We start from the raw sequence: 22,022 nt of genomic DNA, 5'->3' as shown, positions 1-22,022 counted from the left end.
CACCACCTACCCATGTCCCTTGTCTTTACTGCAATTTAACAAAAACCAGTCCTGTGTGAAATTTCTGCCTTTTCTGCAAAAATTAGAATGTTCCATGTTCCTTACTTAAAGATTCATGGTATTTGTCAGATCCAGAAGAAAGAGAAAGAATGTCTCTTTTGATGGATATCTGTACATATTTGACTTGGCCTGGCTATAAAGAAGCTTATGATTTCCTTAACATCTCTTCTCTGGTGTAGTAATTCCATTCTCACTCATTCTTCAAAAAAGAAATTATTATTGGATTGTCTTTTTATTCTTTTTCATAGTTTTATAATATCTGTATTTTTCACATAAGTAGCTTTATATTCTTATTGGAGATGATTAAGGTATAAATGTATTTAATCCAGTAAGTTAACCAGATGCTCCTATTTTACTGGAATAGTCTCTTTAAACGAACAATAGCAAATAAGGCAGATATTGTAGAAAAAGTCCTAGAAGACACGCCCTATGATGGCAAAGGGAAACTTTTAAGTGGCCAAAAAACAAACTGAAATGCCAAAAGTTTTGCTTTGTGAAATTAATCTGTGACGTTTGAGGTCAAATACTCTCATATTCATTAGCCTGCCTATGCTCTAGCTTTGCCTAATTTTGTCCCACATACAGACTATGTGATGAGGTAGTACATACAATGAGTCCCAGGGAATACATTATTTCCTGAATCAAAAATTGGGACGAGTGGCATGTAAAGGATGCTTGATCACTTACTTGTGCAAGAGATAGCTTTCAAGGTGTCATTTAGAATTTCTGGAATGTATTAGTTGTTCTAGGAATGTGGTGGTGGGGAGTAGAATTAGGACTATACCAAACAATTTTGGTGGTTTGGTTGCCAGACACATGAAGGGCCACTCTAGTGAAATAGGAAAGGAAGAATCAAAGAAAAGATGCTTATGATTGGCATAAACCCATGCTAGATGCCCCAGCTGGTTTCTCCTGTAAGAAATAATCAACACCATGTTATTCTTAGCTAAGAACAAATTACCCGCTTCTAAAAGCTACCTGAAACAGGTCGTACCTGTCCCTCTGCATCTTTGATTTTCGTTTCCAAGATAAGTTTGGCAGCCTGCTGTTCTTTGTTCAAGTGCTGGAGCCCCTCATAGGTCGTTTTGTGCTCTGCAGAAAGTCTAGCTATGCTGGCATCACATCTGTCCAGACAAAGAACAAAGCTGATTCTTATTAAAGTTTAAAAACAATGCGCAAAAGCTTCCTTATACACTCTGAAATGCAAAACCCACTCAAAGAAAGTGCACTATCCATCATTCTTTTGAACAGAGGTTCAAATGAATTCCAAGAGCTGGCCTCATTATGGTTTTTAAGGTAAACCACAGGGATGTTGCTTAATAAGGCTAGAGATGTAACCACCAAAGAAATAAAGTCTTTCCAACGATCATGAGTACAACACTGTATGTGCAGCGAGAGGCCAATACAAAGAGCATAGCTAGTGTGCTGGATGTGGTCTGTCACTCTTCAGTACCACCCCTGCCTTTCGAAGTTGGGGGCCTCCTTGGATTTGGGAGGAAACTTCTACCATGTTAGAAAATATTACTTCTAAACTTTGACTGAATCACTCGTAAGGCTGTATAGTATGAGTAGGGTGTAGAGCAGGGGAAGGCTTTGCAGCCAGTTCAAGCTGTAGTAAAAGCTGCTGCCCTGTGGGCCTTGCAACTTGGCAGATCCAATGGTACTCAAAGTATGTGTGGCAGATGAGCTGTGTGGGGCCTCTGTCGAGTCCTAATAGGAGAGTCACAGAATGGACCCATAAGAGTTTAGAGCTAACTAATGCTCTGTTCTGAGACAATATTCCTCTGTTGAGAAGAAGCTGCTGGCTTGCTACTGGGCTCAGTAGAGACAGAATGCCATTAGGTGACTCTGCAATCGGAGCAATCCATCATGAATACCACACTAGAAGGTGGGCCTAGAACAGCACTCCATCTTCAAGGGGAAGGGTTCAAGCAGGTTCAAAAGGCACAAGTAAGTTACAAGAGCACAGACTCCCACCATGGCATCTATTCCTGCTACTGCACCAACTCTCCTTCAATCCATGCCTATGACTTCTTCATCTTCTCCCTCCTGCTGCTTGGGAGGCTGAGGTTGAGGCAGGAGAATTGCTTGAGCCCAGGAGTTCAAGGCCAGCCTGGGCAACATAGCAAGACCCTGTGTCTACAAAAAGATAAAACGATAATACAAAACAAAACAAAACAAACAAACAAAAAAATCTGTGGCTTCTAGAAGAGTTCTTGATGACCAGGTGGACTGAGGGAGAAAGTCAGGCCTGGCTTACAGATGGTCACACCCAGTATGCTGACACCTTCTGGAATAAGACTGCTGATGCTTCTAAGTCCACTTAGGAGTAGCCCTAAAGATTGTTAGGAAGACAGAATTTCTAACAATATATTGGGAGATTCATTTTGCCTGGAATAAGAGATGGCCAGACATTCAAGGAAAGTGGCTAATGGTTAGAGACTTAGGAAAAAAACTGGAGGATTAGTGACAAGGAAAAGAGTTTACATAAATGGATCATTCTTAAGTGACACAACATTTTTGCTCCTTGTAAATGCTCTTTGTCTCGTAGGGACTGAAGCCCCAAACTATACTTCCCAGACGTCATTGCCAGAAGGGTTCGGAGTTAGATTCTGACAGTGAGAGTCATTTATACAAGACTCAGAAGGTAGAAGAGGAGAACCCTTTATTCTCCCCTGTCAGTGGTGGGCAGACACAGGGGTGAACTGCAGATGTGAGGTGTACATCCACTTCCAGGCAGACACCATCCAGCAAATCACTTACTTCCATGCTATAGGTGGCTAAGATGATCAATGACGCCTTTCTGTGATTTTTTTTTTTTTTTCGAGACAGAGTCTAACTCTGTCACCCAGGCTGGAGTGCAGTGGCGTGATCTCGGCTCACTGCAACCTCTGCCTCCTGGGTTCAAGCCGTTCTCCTGCCTCAGCCTCCTGAGTAGCTGGGATTACAGGTACACATCACCATGCCTGGCTAATTTTTGTATTTTTAGTAAACATGAGGTTTCACCATGTTGGCCGGGCTGGTCTCAAACTCCTGACCTCAGGCAATCCACCCGCCTCAGCCTCCCAAAGTGCTGGGATTACAGATGTGTGCCACCGCGCCCAGCCCTTGTCTTAATTCTAGACTAGACATAGTTGAAGATAGAATCAGTGGCTTCAATGATAGTAGCAAGGAACTCACTCAGAATGTAGTGGACAGAGATTAAAAACATGAAAAAATAGTTAAGAAACATGGAAGTCAAATAGAGGGATGTTAACATAAGTCAAGGAGGAGTTCCAACAGAAGGAAATAGAGATAATGGCAAAGAAGCAATATTTGAGGTGTGAATGCCAACAATTTTCTAAAATTGAAGAAAGACATGAATTTTAAGATGTTCAATGACTACAAACTGGGATAAGTAAAAATACATAAAGCATGGGGAAATTCAGATAACCAATGATAAATATAAAATCTTAAAAGCTACAGACTAAAGAGAAGTAACCTACCCAAAGCTACCAAAAACTGACAATAAGACTGACAGCCCACAATAGATATAGGAGACAACAGATATCAGAAGATAATGGAGAAACATCTTCTAAGTATTGAGGGTAAATAACCTATCATCCAAGAATAAGTACAAAATAAAGACTTTTTCTAACATGCAAAGATTAGAAAAATATCACCCACAAGCCAATACTGAAAAAGTTACTAATGAATGTACTTCAGTAAAGAGAAAAGAACACCCACAAAGAAGGAGTAGGGTGCAAAAAACAATAGTGAGTAAATGGATAAAATTGTGGTAAACTTATTATTGACTCTAAAGAAAGTAAGCTACCAGCTCAATTATTCCAACTTTCTTATAGACTCTTACTTTGCAACAACTGTTCTAGAATGTAAACTGCATGCAAGGAGACATTATATATGCCTCTTTCATCACCTAAAACCCTAGTTTTATTTATTGCCTTGCATATGGTAGAGGCTTAATAAATATTTGTGAATGAATGAATATAAGGAAATATTTACTATGTACTAGGTACTGTACTAGATACTTGACATATATTATTTCATTAATCCTCACAAATCATTCCCATGTCAATGATGATTAAAAATAATGCCAAATGTAGACCCTGATTTTTTATTTTGAGTTCATAATTTTTTAGCAAAATATTATTGAAATCATATTTGGGGAAAGCTGAGGTTTTTAAAATACTATGAAATAAAAAATATAATAGTTTTTTTAAAAGACATTATTTTCCAGTCCAAACATAAGCTTCCTAGATAAACACTATCAGGTATCACTACATCAGACCAGTTTCATCAACTTTACAAAGCCGTTTGAGGGACAGACTGTGTTTTAAAATGTAGTTTGAAAAGTCTCAAAAGTATTCTGAAGCTTTCACTAGCTATCACTTGGCTTCAATGCTGTGTCTCACTTGGAAACACAAGTACTATAACATAAATTTCTATTAATACAACAGTGGCTAGGGCTGGGCACAGTGGCTCACACCTGTAATCCCAGCACTTTAGGAGGCCGAGGCAGGTGGATCACTTGAGGCCAGGAGTTTGAGACCAGCCCGGCCAACATGGGAAAACCCCATCTCTACTAAAAATACAAAAATTAGCTGGGTGTGGTGGTGCACGCATGTAATCCCAGCTACTCAGGAGGCTGAGGCACAAGAATCGCTTGAGCCTGGGAGGCGGAGGTTGCAGTGAGCTGAGACTGCGCCATTGCACTCCAGCCTGGGTGACACAGTGAGACTCTGTCAAAAAAAAAAAATAGTGGCTAAATACATTGACTTATAGTACATAGATGTAGCAGAATACTCCATATCCAATTAAAAAGCATGCTAGATCTATGTGCATACTGGAAGTGTCCACATGTTATGTGGAAAAACTTATGTTGCAGAATAGTATATATAATACTTTGTAAAGTTAAAATCACACTGTAAAGAAACTTATTAGACTACAAACCATTCTACCATTGTATATAATAAACTATTATCTTATTATTACTTATGAGAAAAGTCTGAAAGGACAGACAACAGACTGTTAACATTAGTTACCTCTAAGGAGTAAAACAGAGCCAAGAGGTGGTAAGGCTTTTTTTTTTTTTTTTTTTTTTTTGAGACAGTCTCACTCTGTTGCCCAGGCTGGAGTGCAGTGGCACGATCTCAGCTCACTGCAACCTCCCGGGCTCAAGCGATTGTCCTGCCTCAGCCTCCTGAGTGGCTGGGATTACAGGCACCCACTACCAGGCCCAGCTAATTTTAGTATTTTTAGTAGACACTGGTTTTCACCATGTTGGCGAGGCTGGTCTCAGAACTCCTGACCTCAGGTAATCCACCCACCTCGGCCTCCCAAAGTGCTGCCACCACTCCTGGCCAGGCTTCATTTTTATTTTGTATATTTAATTGCATTTCTGATTCTTTCCTACCAGCACACATCCCTCGTGTACTTTTGTAAAAAAAGAAGCAGGCTGGGCAGGGGACACAGAGAAGAGCACAAGGTAAGATACCAAAGACTCCCATTAGAAAACACGGCTGGCGCGGTGGCTCACGCCTGTAATCCCAGCACTTTGGAAGGCGAGGTGGGCGGATTACCTGGGGTCAGGAATTCGAGACCAGCCTGGCCTACATGGTAAAACCCCGTCTCTACTAAAAAATAAAAAATACAAAAATTAGCCGGGCGTGGTGGTAGGCGCCTGTAATCCCAGCTACTCGGGAGGCTGAAGCAGGAGAATCGCTTGAACCCAGGAGGCAGAGATTGCAGTGAGCCGAGATCGCGCCATTGCACTCCAGCATAGGCAACAGAGCGAAACTCTGTCTCAAAACACACACACACACACACACACACACACACACACACACACACAGTGAAGTCAACTCTGGTTTTTTTATGTTAAAAATAATGTTCTTCAAAATACCAAACACCGCATATTCTCACTCATAGGTGGGAATTGAACAATGAGAACACATGGACACAGGAAGGGGAACATCACACTCTGGGGACTGTTGTTGGGGGGGGAGCGGGAAGGGATAGCTTTAGGAGATATACCTAATGCTAAATGACGAGTTAATGGGTGCAGCACACCAGCATGGCACATGTATACATATGTAACTAACCTGCACATTGTGCACATGTACCCTAAAACTTAAAGTATAATAATAATAAAATAAAATAAAAAAAGAAAAAGAAAAAGAAAAAAATAAAAAATAAAAATAATGTTCTTACTCTAAAATGTTTCAGAAAAAAATTACATGCATGAAAGAATAATACAGTAAATGTGACATATTGTTAACAATTGGTGAGTTTTGTAATTTTTTATAAATTTAAAATTATTTCAAAATAAAAATATATTTAAGATAAAAGAAGGAAAGGAATATTGCTATTTCATCTAGCGTTAAATCAAAGACATCATTCCTGTCTTAAAAAAAACTCATAAAAGACAGCCTCAGGGCTCTAATATAACTGCGCATATGGCTCAACAGCTTTAGTTAAACAAGAATTTGCAATGAATCTAACCAGTTTTCCTATTCGTCCTTAATGCTTTACATCATGATGAACAATAATGTACTCATTCCAAATTTTCCCTTTTTGGGTCTTTAGACAGCTGTTACCTCCCAGATACAATTCCAGGTTGTGGCCATCAGGTGGCAGAGTGACTCTATTGCTAGGCTTACCTAATCACTGGTGGTCAGAAGTCCATCTAGAGAGTCCCAAACGTCTAAAGGGTATGACTTGGGCCACACGCTGATGCAGAACTTCTCTGTCAGCATATGACATAGTAGCATAACATACCAAACCCAATGACATTTAAAACATCAATTTGGTTGCTCATTTTCCATATTATTGTAATTTTTGTATATATACATAATTATTATATATATATGTATCATTAAGCCCTTTATAGCTGGCAGTTATTTAATTATAGTACCATCAGACTATACGACAATTTATGTCCCAGGGCATTGTCAAAAATAGTATAGCAATATGCTAGCAATTAGTGGAGCCTAAGATTTGGGTGTGATATCAACAGAGGAAGATAACCTAATAAAATATCAGGGAAAGAGACAGTCAAACAGAGCCCTTCCAAAACCACTGTCATTGCAAATAATTGTGCCCATTTCCCAAACTGTACTGAGGAGTGACATCAGAGGCTTCATATTACAGGATAAACAGACATCACTAAAAGAGTCCATTCAAGTCGCTAAACAAATAAACATGCAAACAACCTCAAAAACAAGCTTAGAGGGCTTGTATCCAGAGTTGCTACAATATATTATCTAAAATGGCCAGGAAAATGTGAACTATACTCAGGCGGAAAAAAACAGGTAAACCAACTGCCTGTAAGAGGACATAGATGTCAGATTTTAAAAAAGAAAACTTCAAATAGCTAATATAAATATAGAATGAGCAAACATAGGATGATTGAAACCACAATTTTAAAAGTAAAGGAATGTATAATAACAATGTTTCTTCAAATAAAAAATATTAATAAAGCTATAGAAATTATAAAAGAAAAAGAAGAACCTAATGGAAATACTGGAACAAAAAATTGATAGAGGGGCTCAACAGAAAACGTGAATAGGTAGAACAAAGACTAGTGAACTTGAAAATAGGTGGCTAGAGATTATGCAGTCTGATGAACAGAGATGAAAAAAAGAAAGAAAGAAAAATGAAGAGAGTCTCCAAAAAAAAAAATGAGACACCAGTAAATGCACCAACATATGCATAATGAGAATAATAGGAGAGAAGATGCCAGGCATGGTGGCTTACACCTGTAATCCCAGCAACTCGGGAGGCTGAGGCAGGAGAATTGCTTGAGGCCAGGACTTTGAGACCAGCCTGGGCAACACAGTGAGACCCTGTCTCTAAAAATAAAAATAAAAATACTTAGCTGGGCATGGTGATGCATGCCTACAGTCCCAGCTACTCAGGAGACTAAAGTTGGGGGGTCGCTTGAGCCCAGCAGTTTGAGATTACAATGAGCCATGATCTTGCCACTTCACTCTAGCCTGGGTGAAGAGTAAGACTCCAACTCAAAGGAAAGAGAGAGAAAGAGAAGAGAAAAGAGCATAAAAAATATTCAAAAAATAATGGCTGAAAACTTCCAAAATGTTATGAAAAACATTAATTGATACAAACAAGTAGTTCAACAAACTCCAAGTAGGGCAAACACCAAGAGATCCATACCAGACACATCATGGCCGGGCATGGTGGCTCACGCCTGTAATCCCAGCACTTTGGGAAGCTGAGGCGGGCAGATCACTTGAGGCCAGGAGTTTGAGACCAGCCTGGCCAACATGGTGAAACCCTGTCTCGACCAACAATACATAAATTAGCCAGGTGTGGTGGTGCACGCCTGTAATCCCAGCTACACAGGGGGCTGAGGCATGAGACTCGCTTGAACCTGGGAGGCAGAGGTTGCAGTGAGCTGAGATCATGCCACTGCACTTCAGCCTGGGCGACAGGGTATCTGTCTCAAAAAAAAAAAAAAATGAAAATGAAAAAGACATAGAAATATTTGAAAGCAGCAAGAAAAAAAAATTCCTCACATACAAGGGAACTAGAATAATATTAATAGCTAATTTTTCATCAGAAATAATTGAGACCACAAGGCAGTAGATGACATATTCATGGCGCTAAAAGAAAATAAGCTGTCAACCAAGAATCTTACATCCAACCAAGAATCTTACTACTTTTCAAAAAAATAAGGCAAAATAAAGACATCCCAGAAAAACAAAAAATGAGAGAATTCATTGTTAGAAGAACCACGCTAGAAGAAATACCAAACGAAGTCTGTCAGGCTAAAAGCAAGTGCCCCAGTTAGTAATTTGAATCCTCATGAAAAAACACAGAGCGTGGGTAAAGGTAATTATGTAATTATAACGAGCAATATAAATGAATATTTTCTCTCCTGTCATAATTGATTAAAAAAGCAATTGTTTAAAATAATATGCATACAATTGTATTGTTACATACATAGAACAATGTACATTACATTACAAATTTAACGTATTTGATAATAGCACAAAGGAGGTGGATGAGCAAAGCTGTATTGGGGGTAAGGAAATGACAACAGATGGTGTCATTTCAACAAAATACTAGCAAACTGATCCTGCAATATAAAAAAAGGATTATATATCATGACCAAGTGAGATTTATTTCAAGAATGCAAATTTGCTTTAACATCAGAAAAGCAATTAGTGTAATAAACCTTATCAATTGAAAAAAGGTCAAACCCCACACGATCATCTCAATAGGTGGAAAAAAAGCATTTGATAAAATCCAATCCCCTTCATGATAAAAACAGCCAACAAACTAGGAAACTAGGAAAAGAAAATCTTTCTCAACCTAATAAAGAGCATATACAAAAAAATCCACATTTGGGCTGGGTGCGGTGGCTCACACCTGTAATCCTAACACTTTGTAATCAAGTGATCCTAAGGCCGAGGCAGGTGGATCACTTGAGGTCAGGAGTTCGAGACCAGCCTGGCCAATATGGCGAATCCCCATCTCTAACAGAAATACAAAAATTAGCTGGGCATGGTGGCAGGCACCTGTAATCCCGGCTACTCGGGAGGCTGAGGCAGGAGAATCACTTGAACCTGGAGGGGCGGAGGGGGCAGTGAGCCAAGATCGCACCTCTTCACTGTAGCTTGGGCGACAGAGCAAGACTCTGTCTCCAAAGGAAAAAACAAAAATCCACACCTAACACCTACTAAATAATGAAAGTATGGATGCTTTCTCCTAAAATAAAAAAACAAGACAAGAGTATCTGCTCTCACCACATTTATTCAACATCGTACTCGAGGTTCTAGTCAGGGCAATTAGGCAAGAAAATGAAATGAAATCCTGATTGGAAAGTAAAAAGTAAAACTATCTTTATTTGCAGATGGCATGATCTGTATGTAGAAAATCCTTTTAAACATCCACTAGAAATTATTAGAAGTAATTAATGAGTTCAGCAGGGTTGCAGGACACAAGACCAATATACAAAATCTACTGTACTTATCTAAGTGGCAATAAAAAACCAAAATGATTTGCTATTTACAATAGCATCAAAAAGAATAAAATACTTAGGAATAAATTTAAAGAAGTGTGAAATTTATACTTTTAAAACTCCAAAATAGTGTTGAAAGATATTAAAGATGACCAAAATAAATGGAAAGATATCCACATTTGTGGATCCAAATACTGAATTTTGGGGCCAGGCATGGTGACTAACACCTGTAATCCCAACACTTTGGGAGGCCAAAGTGAGAGGATCACTTGAAACCAGGAATTCAAGACCAGCCTGGGAGAGACCCTGTCTCTACAAAAAATGAAAAAAATTAGTCAGATGTGGTGGCACATGCCTGTAGTCCCAGCTACTCAGGAAGCTGAGGTGGGAGGATTGCTTGAGCCCAAGAGTTCAAACTGCAGGGAATTGTGATCATGCCACTGCACTCCAGTGTGGGCAACAAAGGAAGACAATGTTTCTAAAAAAATTTTTTTTAAATAAAGGCTTATTTGTTTATTTTTTTTGAAACAGGGTCTTGCTCTGTCACCCTGGTTGAAGTGCAGTGATATGATCATAGCTCCCTGCAACTACAGGCATGTGCCACCATGCCCAGCTAACTTATATTCATTTTTTCATAGATATACAGTCTTGCTATGTTGCCAAACATGGTCTCAAACTCCTGGCCTCAAACTCCTGGCCTCAAACTCCTGGCCTCAAGCAATCCTCCTACCTTGGCCTCCCAAATCCCTGGGATTACAGGCATGAGACACTGAACCCACTGAAAGACTTAATATTTTTAAAATGGCAATATTCCCCAAACGGATCTACAGATTCAACACAGTCCCTATCAATATTCCAACTGGTTTCTTTGCAGAAATTGACAAACTGATCTTAAATTTTTTTTTTTTTGAGACAGAGTCTTGCTCTGTTGCCCAGGCTGGAGTGCAGTGGCACAACCTCGGCTCACTGCAGCCTCCGCCTCTCAGGTTCAAGCGATTATCCTGCCTCAGCCACCCGAGTAGCTGGGATTACAGGTGGCCACTACCACACCTGGCTAATTTTTGTATTTTTAGTAGAGATGGGATTTCACCATGTTGGCCAGGCTGGTCTCAAACTCCTGATCTCGTGATCTGCCCACCTCAGCCTCCCAAAGTGCTGGGATTACAGGCGTGAGCCGCCATGCCTAGCCTGATCCTAAATTTCTTCTTCTTCTTCTTCTTCTTCTTTTTTAAATTTGAGACAAAGTTTTGCTCTGTCACCCAGGCTGGAGTGCAGTGGCACAATCCCGGCTCACTGCAACCTCTAGGTTCAAGCGATTCTCCTGCCTCAGCCTCCCCAGGAGCTGAGATTACAGGTGTGCGCTACCACACCCAGCTAATTTTTGTCTTTTTGGTAGAGATGGGATTTCACCATGTTGGCCAGGCTGATCTCAAATACCTGACCTCAGGAGATCCACCCGCCTTGGCCTCCCAAAGTGCTGGGACTACAAGCGTGAGCCACTGCACCTGGCCTGATCCTAAATTTCATAAGGAAATACAATGGACCTAAAACAGCTAACACAATCTTGAAAAAAAAGGATGAAGTTGGAGGACTCACACTTCTCAATTTCAAAATGTACCACAAAGCTATAGCAATCAAGACAGTGTGGTACCAGCATAAGAAAATAATTGAGAATCAATGGAATAGAATTGAGAGTCTACAAATAAATCTATACACCTATTTGCCAAGTGATTTTCTTTCTTTTTTTTTTGAGATAGAGTCTTGCTATGTTGCCCAGGCTGGAGTGCAGTGGCGAGATCTTGGCTCACTACAACCTCCGCCTCCCAGGTTCAAGTGATTCTCCTGCTTCAGCCTCCTGAGTAGCTGGGACTACAGGCGCAGGCCGCCACACCTGGCAAATTTTTGTATTTTTAGTAGAGACGGGGTTTCACCATATTGGTCAGGCTGGTCTTGAACTCCTGACCTCCTGATCTGCCCGCCTCGGCCTCCCAATGCACTGGGATTACAGGCGTGAGCCACCGCTCCCGGCCGCCAAGTGATTTTTCAACTAGGGTGCCAAGACCATTTGATGGGGGAAAGAATAGACTTTTCAACAAATTATGCTGGGATAAATAGATATCTACAAGGAAAATAATAAATGTGGAACCTTACCTTATACTATATACAAAAAAATTAACTAAAAATGGATCACAGGCCTAAATGTAAGAGCTGAAACTATAAAACTTAAAAAGAAAATATAGGCATAAATCTTTGTGACCTGGATTAGGCAAGAGTTTCTTAAATATGACACCCCAAACACTAGCAACTGAAGAAAAGATAGATGTTAGATATAAGCAAGATTAAAAATTTTTAAGTTTCAAAAGACATGAGAAAATGAAAAGACATCCCTTAGAATGGGACAGTAATTTTTCAAATCAGATATCTGATAAGGGAATTATATCTAGAATATATAATTTTTAAAACTCCTACAGCTCAATAATAGAAAGACAATTACCCAATTTAAAAATGGGCAAGGAATCTGAATAAATATTTTCCTAAAGAAGATATGCCAATGACGAGCAAGCACATTAAATGATGTTCAACACCATTAGTCCTCAGGGGGATGCAATCAAAACCACAATGAGATACCTCTTCAAACCCACTGGGATGGCTATAATCGAAAAGATAGAAAACAACTGTTAGTGAGGATGTGAAGGAATCGGAGCCCTCAGACACTGCTGGGGGCAATGTAAAGTGGCGGCCACTTCGGCAAACAGTCTAGCTGCGCTGTTCCTCAAAAGTTGAATATAGAGTTATCATGTTACTCAGCTTTTTCATTCTAGGTACATATCCAAGAGAAATGAAAACCTATGAGCACACAAAAACAAATAGACAAATGTTCACAGCAGCATTATTTAAAATAGTCAAAAGTGGAAACAACCCCAACGTTCAACTGATGAACAGGTTTTTAAAATGCAGTACACAATGAGGTACTATGCAGCCATAACAAGGAATGTAGTGCTGATACATGCTACAACATGGATGAACCCTGAAAACATGATGCTAAGTGTCAGAAGCCAGAATCAAGGGAACACATTCACTCGAAATGCTCAGAAGAGGGAAATCCATCAGACAGAGAATGTAGGCCTGCCATGGACTGGGGAACTGGGGAGGCTGGGGAAAAATGGGGAGTGACAGCTAACAGGTATGGGGTTTCTTTTTGGATGATAAAAACGTTCTGAAATCGATTGTGGTGATGACTACATGACTGTGTGAATACACTAAAAATCACTGAATTGTGTGCTTTAAGTAGGTGACTTATATAGTTAGATCTCACTAAAGGTGTTCAGAGAGAGAGAGGAGAGAGAAAGGAGGCTATGTATCGGGCCTTCAGGTCTGATCAAGTCCTGTTTAGAACACGGTATGCCACATGAGCTAAATGTGTATCTCATCTTTATGGAGAACTTGCCTTTGCCCTTCTGAGCTGGATTTACAGGGGAAAAAAATCAAGGCCCATTTGCTACTAATTACATCACCAATGGACACATAAAAACTATAAAATTAAATATGAAATAATATAGCAACCTAGTGTCTTAAGAATACCACTTAAAATGTTCATACCCCTCCAATACAATTACATAATCAACACAAGAAAGCCAAGAAACTTTTCCAAAGAATTTTTATTTCACATGAATTCATTTCAACAATCAAGTCTCATCAGCATTCTAATATAGCCAAAAAAACAAAGCAAAAATATTTAGTACTCATAACAAACACTTTTGATGCCTTTAGAGTGAAAGTTTTTGTTACAGGGAAGCAACAAGTTGAGTAGAGAAGTTGATAAGAAACTGAAGAATATAAGATTCCTGAAAGTATTTCAAAATAATTTTTCTACTTTGTATTAGAACCAGCATCATAAGGACAATGCCACTGCTCTTGCCCCTGAGATGATAAAGCCACCACTGGTTGCAGGCCCTTTTCATCGCATGCAGGGCACCAAGCCTCTCACATGTATTCTCCCACTTGATCTTCATCCGCAACTCAAGCGGCTACGAAGATCCTCAGAGTCCTCCTAAAGTCCCTACTCTGTCCTATAGCTCGCAAGTTCTTCTAACTCCCTGCTGTTCTGAGAGGTATCACAGAGCTGGGATTTCTTTTAAGCCGAAATGCATAAACAAGGAGTCAAGGTTTTCCAGTCCTATTATAGTGAGTTTCCAGGTCATTTCTTCATCCAAATTGATGATGAATGTTGAGTATCTACTGTTTTCCAGAGACCGTTCCAGGCACTTAGCTATAGACAGGTAACATATCTGGAATCCCCCTTCAACATAGTAAAGGTAGCAGAGTGAGGAAGACATTGGAGAGACTCAATAGAGCAGTGAGTGCTAGGAGAGCTCTATGGAGTGGGGGTGTCAGGGAAGACTCCCAGAGGGGGTGACACTTCAGCTGAACTTTAAAGACTGAAAAGAAGTTAGAAAAGAAGGAGGAGGCCGGGCGCGGTGGCTCACACCTGTAATCCCAGCACTCTTGGAGGCCGAGGTGGGCGGATCACCTGAGGTCAGGAGTTAGAAGCCAGCCTGGCCAACATGGTAAAACCTCATCTCTACTAAAAATACAAAACTTAGCTGGCCGTGGTGGCGAGTGCCTGTAGTCTCAGCTACTCGGGAGGCTGAGGCAGGAGAATCGCTTGAATCCAGGAGGCGGAGGTTGCAGTGAGCCGAGATTGTGCCACCGCTCTCCAGCCTGGCAGACAGAGTGAGAATTGTCTCAAAAATAAAAAGAAAAGAAAAGGAGGAGGAAAGGCATGCTAGGTACGAGAACAGCATGTACAAAGGTGGAGCAATAGAAGAGCATGGTTTATTCAGGGACTAACAAAAAAGTTGATCACTGCTGAAAGGTACAGTGCAAGGGTAGAGAGAGAAGAGGGAGTCAACAGGGTGTCATCACCAAGGATCACACTAAGGAGACTGGAGTTCATCCTGATGAGGACAGAAAATCACAGAAGGAGAGTGATCAACCTGTTCCCCATCCAATCCATGCAGCCCTCTGCTATTATAGACAGATCTTTACCCAGCAGACTCAAACACACATGTCCAGCATTCAAGGCCCTCGACACGTTGTCTGCACAAAGACACCCTAATACTACTCCTCCCTGCTCCAGAGGCCTTGCATGCAGGAGGTCCTTGTTCTTTCTTCCACCCGACTCCATGCAGACCACCCTCATTGCCACCTCAGGCTGACGGGAAGTGCCATTTGCTCCTCAGCTCCGGTGCTGATATGCATTAATGTGCTTGGCTCTTAGGCCCAGCAGAGGGCAGAAGAGGCCCATAAATACTTCGGACAAATTTGTCCCAGCCAGATAAAAATAGCCCTAGACACAGTCCTGGTACAGTGCTTCCCGGACTTTCCCATGCATATGAATTCAGGGATCTTGTTAAAATGCAGATTCTAACTCAGTAGTTGCAGGGTGGGCTGGAGACAGTACATTTCTAACAAGGTCCCAGGTGCTGTTGAGGCTGCTGGTCCATGCAGCACACTTTGAGAAAATAGCACTTTTCATACTGAGAAGAAAGATCTTTTTTCTAAGTTTCCAATCTTTCCCAGACCAATACTTTCCGAAAATAAAATAAAAATGAATAACAGGAAAAATTAAATTTCCAAAATGACATACAAACTATCTCAACTTTATATTTTCGGATTCGATAAACTTAGTATTTACCCTATCAAATTACAAGGTCAGCTGAGTGAGTTCTCCCATCATTTCTTCCCAGGAAGACAACACCAATTGCGTAACAAAAGAAACCCATGGCACCCTCACAACCAGGTTTAACTCCTACCACTGGATTTTATGGCCAAAGCAGGGAGGGAATGTACTAAAGGAATGCAAGCCATTTGCTTTGGGGCTTCATTAATATATTCCCCACTATAATGGAGTTTATAGAAAATGGTTTTTGATGAGCAGAGACCCCAACATTTGAACACCTACCTTGCCACTCTTCCTCGAAGATCTCCCAAACCGGAGAGCTGGCGCATCTCCAGGGTCTTTAAGGCAGAATTAGTTCCATAGCTAATGTTGTCCCGGGCACGAATCTGCTCCTGGAGTACCTGGGCAACATAAAAAACACTAAGGGAGTCATCTAAGAATTCACGTGCTTCCACAAAAGCATTTTATACTTTTGGCAAAAATAAGAATGTTTAACTCAGTCTTTCATAAGAGACTCCTTTTCAACAGTCACCTAAGGCACACTTAAACAGAGAACTAGGGGGCCTAGACAGAGAGAGACCTTAGAGGCTCCTCCCAGAGCAAGTCCCTTTATTTACCATTAAAAACTAAGTTCCTTTGGTTTTAGTATTTCTTCCTTAGTAATGAAGCCACTTTCTTTTTCTTTTTTCTTTTTTCTTTTTTTTTTGAGATGGAGTCTTGCTCTGTTGCCCAGGCTGGAGTGCAGTGGCACAATCTCAGCTCACTGCAACTTCTGCCTCCCAGGTTCAAGCAATTCTCCTGCCTCAGCTTCCCGAGCAGCTGGGATTACAGGCATGTGCCATCACACCTGGCTAAGTTTTGCATTTTTAATAGAGACGGAGTTTGTGTTAGTAGAGATGGGGTTTCGCCATGTTGGCCAGGCTGGTCTTGAATTCCTGACATCAGGTGACACGCACACCTTGGCCTCCCAAAGTGCTGGGATTACAGGTTTGAGCCATGGGCTATTTTGATACAGGCATGCAATGTGTAATAATCACATCAGGGTGAATGAGGTATCCCTCACCTCAAGTATTTACTGTTTCTATTACAAACAACCCAATTATACTCTTTTAGTTATGTTTACATGTACAATTAAATTATTATTGACTACAGTCACCCTGTTGTGCTATCAAATACTAGATCTTATTAATTCTAACTATTTTTTAATGCCCATTAATCATCCACATTTCCACCCCACCCCCCACTATCCTTCTCAGCCTCTGGTAACCATCATTCTACTCTCTATCTCCGTGAGTTCAATTGTTTTAATTTTTAGCTCCCACAAGTGAGTGAGAACATGCGAAGCTTATCTTTCTGTGCCTGGCTTATTTCATTTCACTTAACATAATGACCTCTCGTTCTATCCATGTTTTTGCAAATGACAGAACCTCATTCTTTCTTACGGCTGAATACACTCCATTGTGTATCTGTACCACACTTCTTTATCCATTTGCCTGTTGATGGACACTTGGGTAGCTTCCAAATCTTGGCTATTGTGGATAGTGCTGCAATAAACACGGGAGTGCAGATATCTCTTCCATATACTGATTTCCTTTCTTGTAGGTATATACCTAGCAGTGGGATTGCTGAATCATATGGTAGCTCTGTTTTAGTTTTGTGAGGTACCTCCAAAGTGTTCTCCACAGTGGTTGTACTAATTTACATTCCCGCCAACACTGTATGAGTGCTCCCTTTTCTCCATATCCTTGCCAGCATTTGATATTGCCTGTCTTTTGGATAAAAGCCATTTTAACTGGGGTGAGATGATATCTCATTGTAGTTTTGTTTGTTTGCTTTTTGAGACTAAGTCTCACTGTCACCCAGGCTGGAGTGTAGTGGCATGATATCGGCTCACTGCAACCTCCACCTCCTGGATTCAAGCGATTCTCATGCCTCAGCCTCCCAAGTAGCTGGGATTACAGGCATGCATCACCATGCCAGGCTAAATTTTTTTTGTATTTTTAGTAGAGATGGAGTTTCACCGTGTTGACCAGGCTGGTCTGAAACCCCTGGCTTCAAGTAATCCACCCACCTCGGCCTCCCAAAGTGCTGGGATTACAGGTGTGAGCCGCTGCACTCAGCCAATATCTCATGTAGTTTTGATTTGCATTTCTCTGATGATCAATGATGTTGAGCACCTTTTCATATACCTGTGTTTGCCATTTCTATGTCTTCTTTTGAGAAATGTGTATTCAGATCTTTTGCCCATTTTTTAAACAGATTATTAGATTTTTTTCTTATAGAGTTGTTTGAGCTCCTTATATATTCTGGTGATCAATCCCTTGTCAGATGGAGAGTTTGCAACTACGTTCTCCCTCCACTTTGTTCTTCTTTTGATGTGCAGAAGCTTTTTAACTTAATTTGATCCCATTTGTCCATTTTTGCTTTGGTTGCCTGTGCTTGAGGGGTATTTCTCAAGAAATCTTTGCCCACTCCAATGTCCTAGAGAGTTTATCCAATGTTTTCTTTTAGTTGTTTCATAGTTTGAGGTCTTAGATTTAAGTTTTTTTTTTTTCAACTTTTATTTTTGGTTCAGGGTACATGTGAAGGTTTTTTACATAGGTAAACTCGTGCCATGGATGTTTGTTGTACAGATTATTTCTGTGAGATAATTAAACACAACTATTGTATACTGGGTTTAATGTGTTGTTGTACAGATTCTGTACATTAAGCCCAGTACCCAACAGTTATCTTTTCTGCTCCTCTCTAATCTTTAATCCATTTTGATTTGATTTTCTGTACATGGTATGAAATAGGGGTCTAATTTCATGCTTCTGCATATGGATATTCAGTTTTCCCAGCACCACTTATTGAACAGACTGTCATTTCCCCATTGCATGATCATGGCTCCTTTTTCAAAAAGGATTTTACTGTAGATGTATGGATTTGTTTCTGGGTTCTCTATTCTGCTCCATTGGTCTATGTGTCTATTTTTATGCCAGTGCCATGCTGTTTTGGTTACTGTAGCTCTGTAGTATAATTGCAAGTCAGGTAATGTGACCTCTCCAGTTTTGTTCTTTTGCTCAGGATAGTTTTGGCTATTTTGGTATTTTGTGGTTCCATGTGAACTTTAGGATTTTTTTTTTCTATTTCTGTGAAGAATGTCATTGGTATTTTGATAGGGATTGCATTGAATTTGTAGATTGCTTCAGGTAGTACAGACATTTTAACAATATTATGTATTCCAAACCACGAACATGGAATATCTTTCCATTTTTATGAGTCTTCTCCAATTTCTCACATCAATGTTTTATAGTTTTCATTGTAGAGATCTTTCACTTCTTTGGTTAATTCACAGGTATGTATGTATGTATGTATATATGTATGTATGTATGTATGTATGTATGTATGTATGTATGTATGTATTTGAGATGGAGTCTCGCTCTGTTGTCCCGGCTAGAGTGCAGTGGCGCAATCTCGGCTCACTGCAACCTCCGCCTCCCAGGTTCATGCCATTCTCCTGCCTCAGCCTCCCGAGTAGCTGGGACTACAGGCGCCCGCCACTATGCCCGGCTAATTTTTTGTATTTTTAGTAGAGATGGGGTTTCTCCGTGTTAGCCAGTATGGTCTCGATCTCCTGACCTCGTGATCCGCCTGCCTCAGCCTCCCAAAGTGCTGGGATTACAGGCGTGAGCCACCGCACCCAGCCTATATTTATTTATTTAATTATTGAGACAGGGTCTTGCGCTGAACCCAGGCTGGAAAGCAGTGGCACAATCTTGGCTCATTGCAACCTCTGCCCCCAAGGCACAAGCAATCTTCCCAGCTCAGCCTCCCGAGGCACACAGCAGCACGCTCAGCTATTTTATCGTATTTTTGGTAGAGACAGGGTTTCGCCATGTTACCCAGGCTGGTCTCAAATTCCTGAGCTCAAGTAATCTGCCCACCTTGGCCTCCCAAAGTGCTGGGATTATAGGCGTGAGCCACAGCACCTGGCCAGTATTTAATTTTATTTACAGCAATTGGAAATGAGATTACTTTCTTGATTTCTTCTTCAGATTGTTCCCCATTGGCATATAGAAATGCCACTAATTTCTGTATGTTGATTTTGTATCCTGAAATTTTATTGAATTTGTTTATCAGTACTAATAGTTTTTTGGTGGAGTCTTTAGGCTTTTCCAAATATAAGATCATATCATCTGCAAACAAGAATAATTTGTCTTCTTCCTTTCCAATTTGGATGCCCTTTCTTTCTTTCTTTTGTCTGATTGCTCTAGCTAGGACATCTAGTACTATGTGGAATAACAGCAGTAAAAGTGGGCATCCTTTTTGTGTTCCAGATCTTAGATAAAGGCTTTCCTGTCTTCTCCATTTAGTATATTACTAACTGTGGGTCTGTCATATATGGCTTTTATTATGTTGAGATGTGTTCCTTGTATACCTAGTTTTTTGAGGGTTTTTCTCATGAAGGGATGTTGAATTTTATCCAATGCTTTTTCAGCATCGGTTGATATGATCATATGCTTTTTGTCTTTCATTTTGTTGATATGATGTATCACACTGATTGATTTGCATATGTTGAACCATCTTTGCATCCCTGGAATGAATCCCACTTGTTAATGATGAATGATCTTTTTAACATGTTGCTGAATTCAGTTTCCCAGTATTTTGTTGAGGGTTTTTGCATCAGTGTTCAACAGGGATATTGGCCTGTAGGTTTTTTGTTTTTTTGTTGTTGTTTTTGTTTTTGTTTTGCATCTTTAATTTTGGTACCAAGGTAATACTGGCCTCATAGAATGAGTTTGGAAGTATTTCCTCCTCTTCTACTTTTCAGAATAGTTACAGTATGATTGCTATTAATTCTCTTTAAATGTGGTAAAATTTAGCAGAGAAGCCATTGGGTCCAGGGCTTTTCTTTGCTAGGAGGTTTTTATTATGGCTTCAATCTCGTTACTTGTTACTGGTTTGTTCAGGTTTTGGATTTCTTCATTATTCAATTGTGGTAGGTTGTATGTGTCTAAGAATTTATCCATTTCTTCTAGGTTTTCTAGTTTTTTGGCATATAGTTGCTCCTAGTAGCCTCTAATGATCCTTTGAATTTCTGTGATATGGGTTGTAAGGTCTCCTTTTTCATCTCTGATTTTATTTAGTTGGGTCTTTTCTGTTTTTTTCTTAGTCTAGCTAAAGTTTGTCAATTTGTTTATCTTTTCAAAAACCCAACTTTTTGTTTCATTGATTTTTTTAAATTGTTCTCATTTCACTTATGTCTGCTCTGATCTTCATTATTTCCTTTCTTCTACTAACTTTGGGTTTGGTTTGCTCTTGCTTTTCTGATTCTTTAAGACATATCCTTAGATCGTTTATTTGAAGGTTTCTTCTTTTTTGATGTAGGCACTTATAAACAAACAAACAAGCAAAAAGAAAACTAATAAAAAACTCTATACTAATATATATATAATATATATATAATATACATATAAGATATATATATAATATATATATAAAATATATATATATATTCAGGAGTGCTGCTAACTCTATACTTTAACATCATCTCCACACTTTTTAACTTTTTGTTGTTTCTATTCATATCTTATTGTACTGTCTATGTCTGGAAAAGTTATTATTTTTGATTGGTTCATCTTTTCATCTTTCTATTTAAGATAAGGAATAGTTTACATACCACAATTACAGTATTATAATATTCTGCGTTTTTCTGTGTACTTACTATTACCAGTGAGTTTTGTACCTTCAGATGATTTCTTATTGCTCATTAACATTCTTTTCTTGAATGTTGAAGAACTCCTTTTAGCATTTCTTGTAGGACAGGCCTGGTGTTGATAAATCCCTCAGCTTTTGTTTGTCTGGGAAAGTCTTTATTTCTCCTTCAAGTTTGAAGTATAGTTTCAACAGATACACTATGGTAGGTTTTATGCTAAGTTTTTTTTTCCTTCAGCACTTTAAAGACGTCATGCCACAAGTCTGTTGCCAAACTTATTGGAGCTCCATTGTATGTTATTTGTTTCTTTTGTCTTGTTGCCTTTAGGATCCCTTCTTTATCCTTGACCTCTGGGAGTTTTGTTATTAAATGCCATGAGGTGGTCTTCTTTGAGTTAAATCTACTTGGTGTTCTATAACCTTCTTGTGCTTGAATTTTGATTTCTTGTACTTGAATTTTGATATCTTTTGTTTGGGAAGTTCTCTGTTATCCCTTTTGATAAACTTTCTACCACTATTTCTCTCTCTACCTCCTCTTAAAAACCAATAACTTTTAGATTTGTCCTTTTGAAGCTACTTTCTAGATCTCGTAGGTGTGCA

The 22,022-nt window shown here is 39.7% G+C and overlaps 1 protein-coding gene across 14 annotated transcripts in view, besides 1 other annotated feature; it reads right to left on the bottom strand.

Annotated features, from left to right (window-relative positions):
• Positions 1 to 22,022, bottom strand: part of FAM81A (family with sequence similarity 81 member A) — a 125,575-nt gene that overhangs the window by 15,159 nt on the left and 88,394 nt on the right. For all 14 annotated transcript variants that reach the window (XM_047432171.1, XM_047432170.1, XM_011521248.3 and 11 more), the window contains 2 exons: positions 16,008 to 16,126; positions 1,055 to 1,184 (listed from right to left, as the gene is read on the bottom strand). In XM_047432171.1, coding sequence (XP_047288127.1) covers positions 1,055 to 1,184; positions 16,008 to 16,126 — 249 coding nt within the window. The remainder of the gene's footprint in view (positions 1 to 1,054; positions 1,185 to 16,007; positions 16,127 to 22,022) is intronic.
• Positions 15,219 to 15,268: an enhancer, noted in NCBI's record as "active region_9496". NCBI's record gives its function as "activates an Ori minimal core promoter by ATAC-STARR-seq in GM12878 lymphoblastoid cells {active_cell/tissue: GM12878}" and the evidence as "EXISTENCE:reporter gene assay evidence [ECO:0000049][PMID:35858748]".

This window comes from Homo sapiens, chromosome 15 (assembly GCF_000001405.40).
Source record: "Homo sapiens chromosome 15, GRCh38.p14 Primary Assembly".
Classification (NCBI taxonomy): Eukaryota; Metazoa; Chordata; class Mammalia; order Primates; family Hominidae; genus Homo; species Homo sapiens.
The sequence above is the reverse complement of the archived record's forward strand: the minus strand, read 5'-3'. Positions and strand labels throughout refer to the sequence as shown.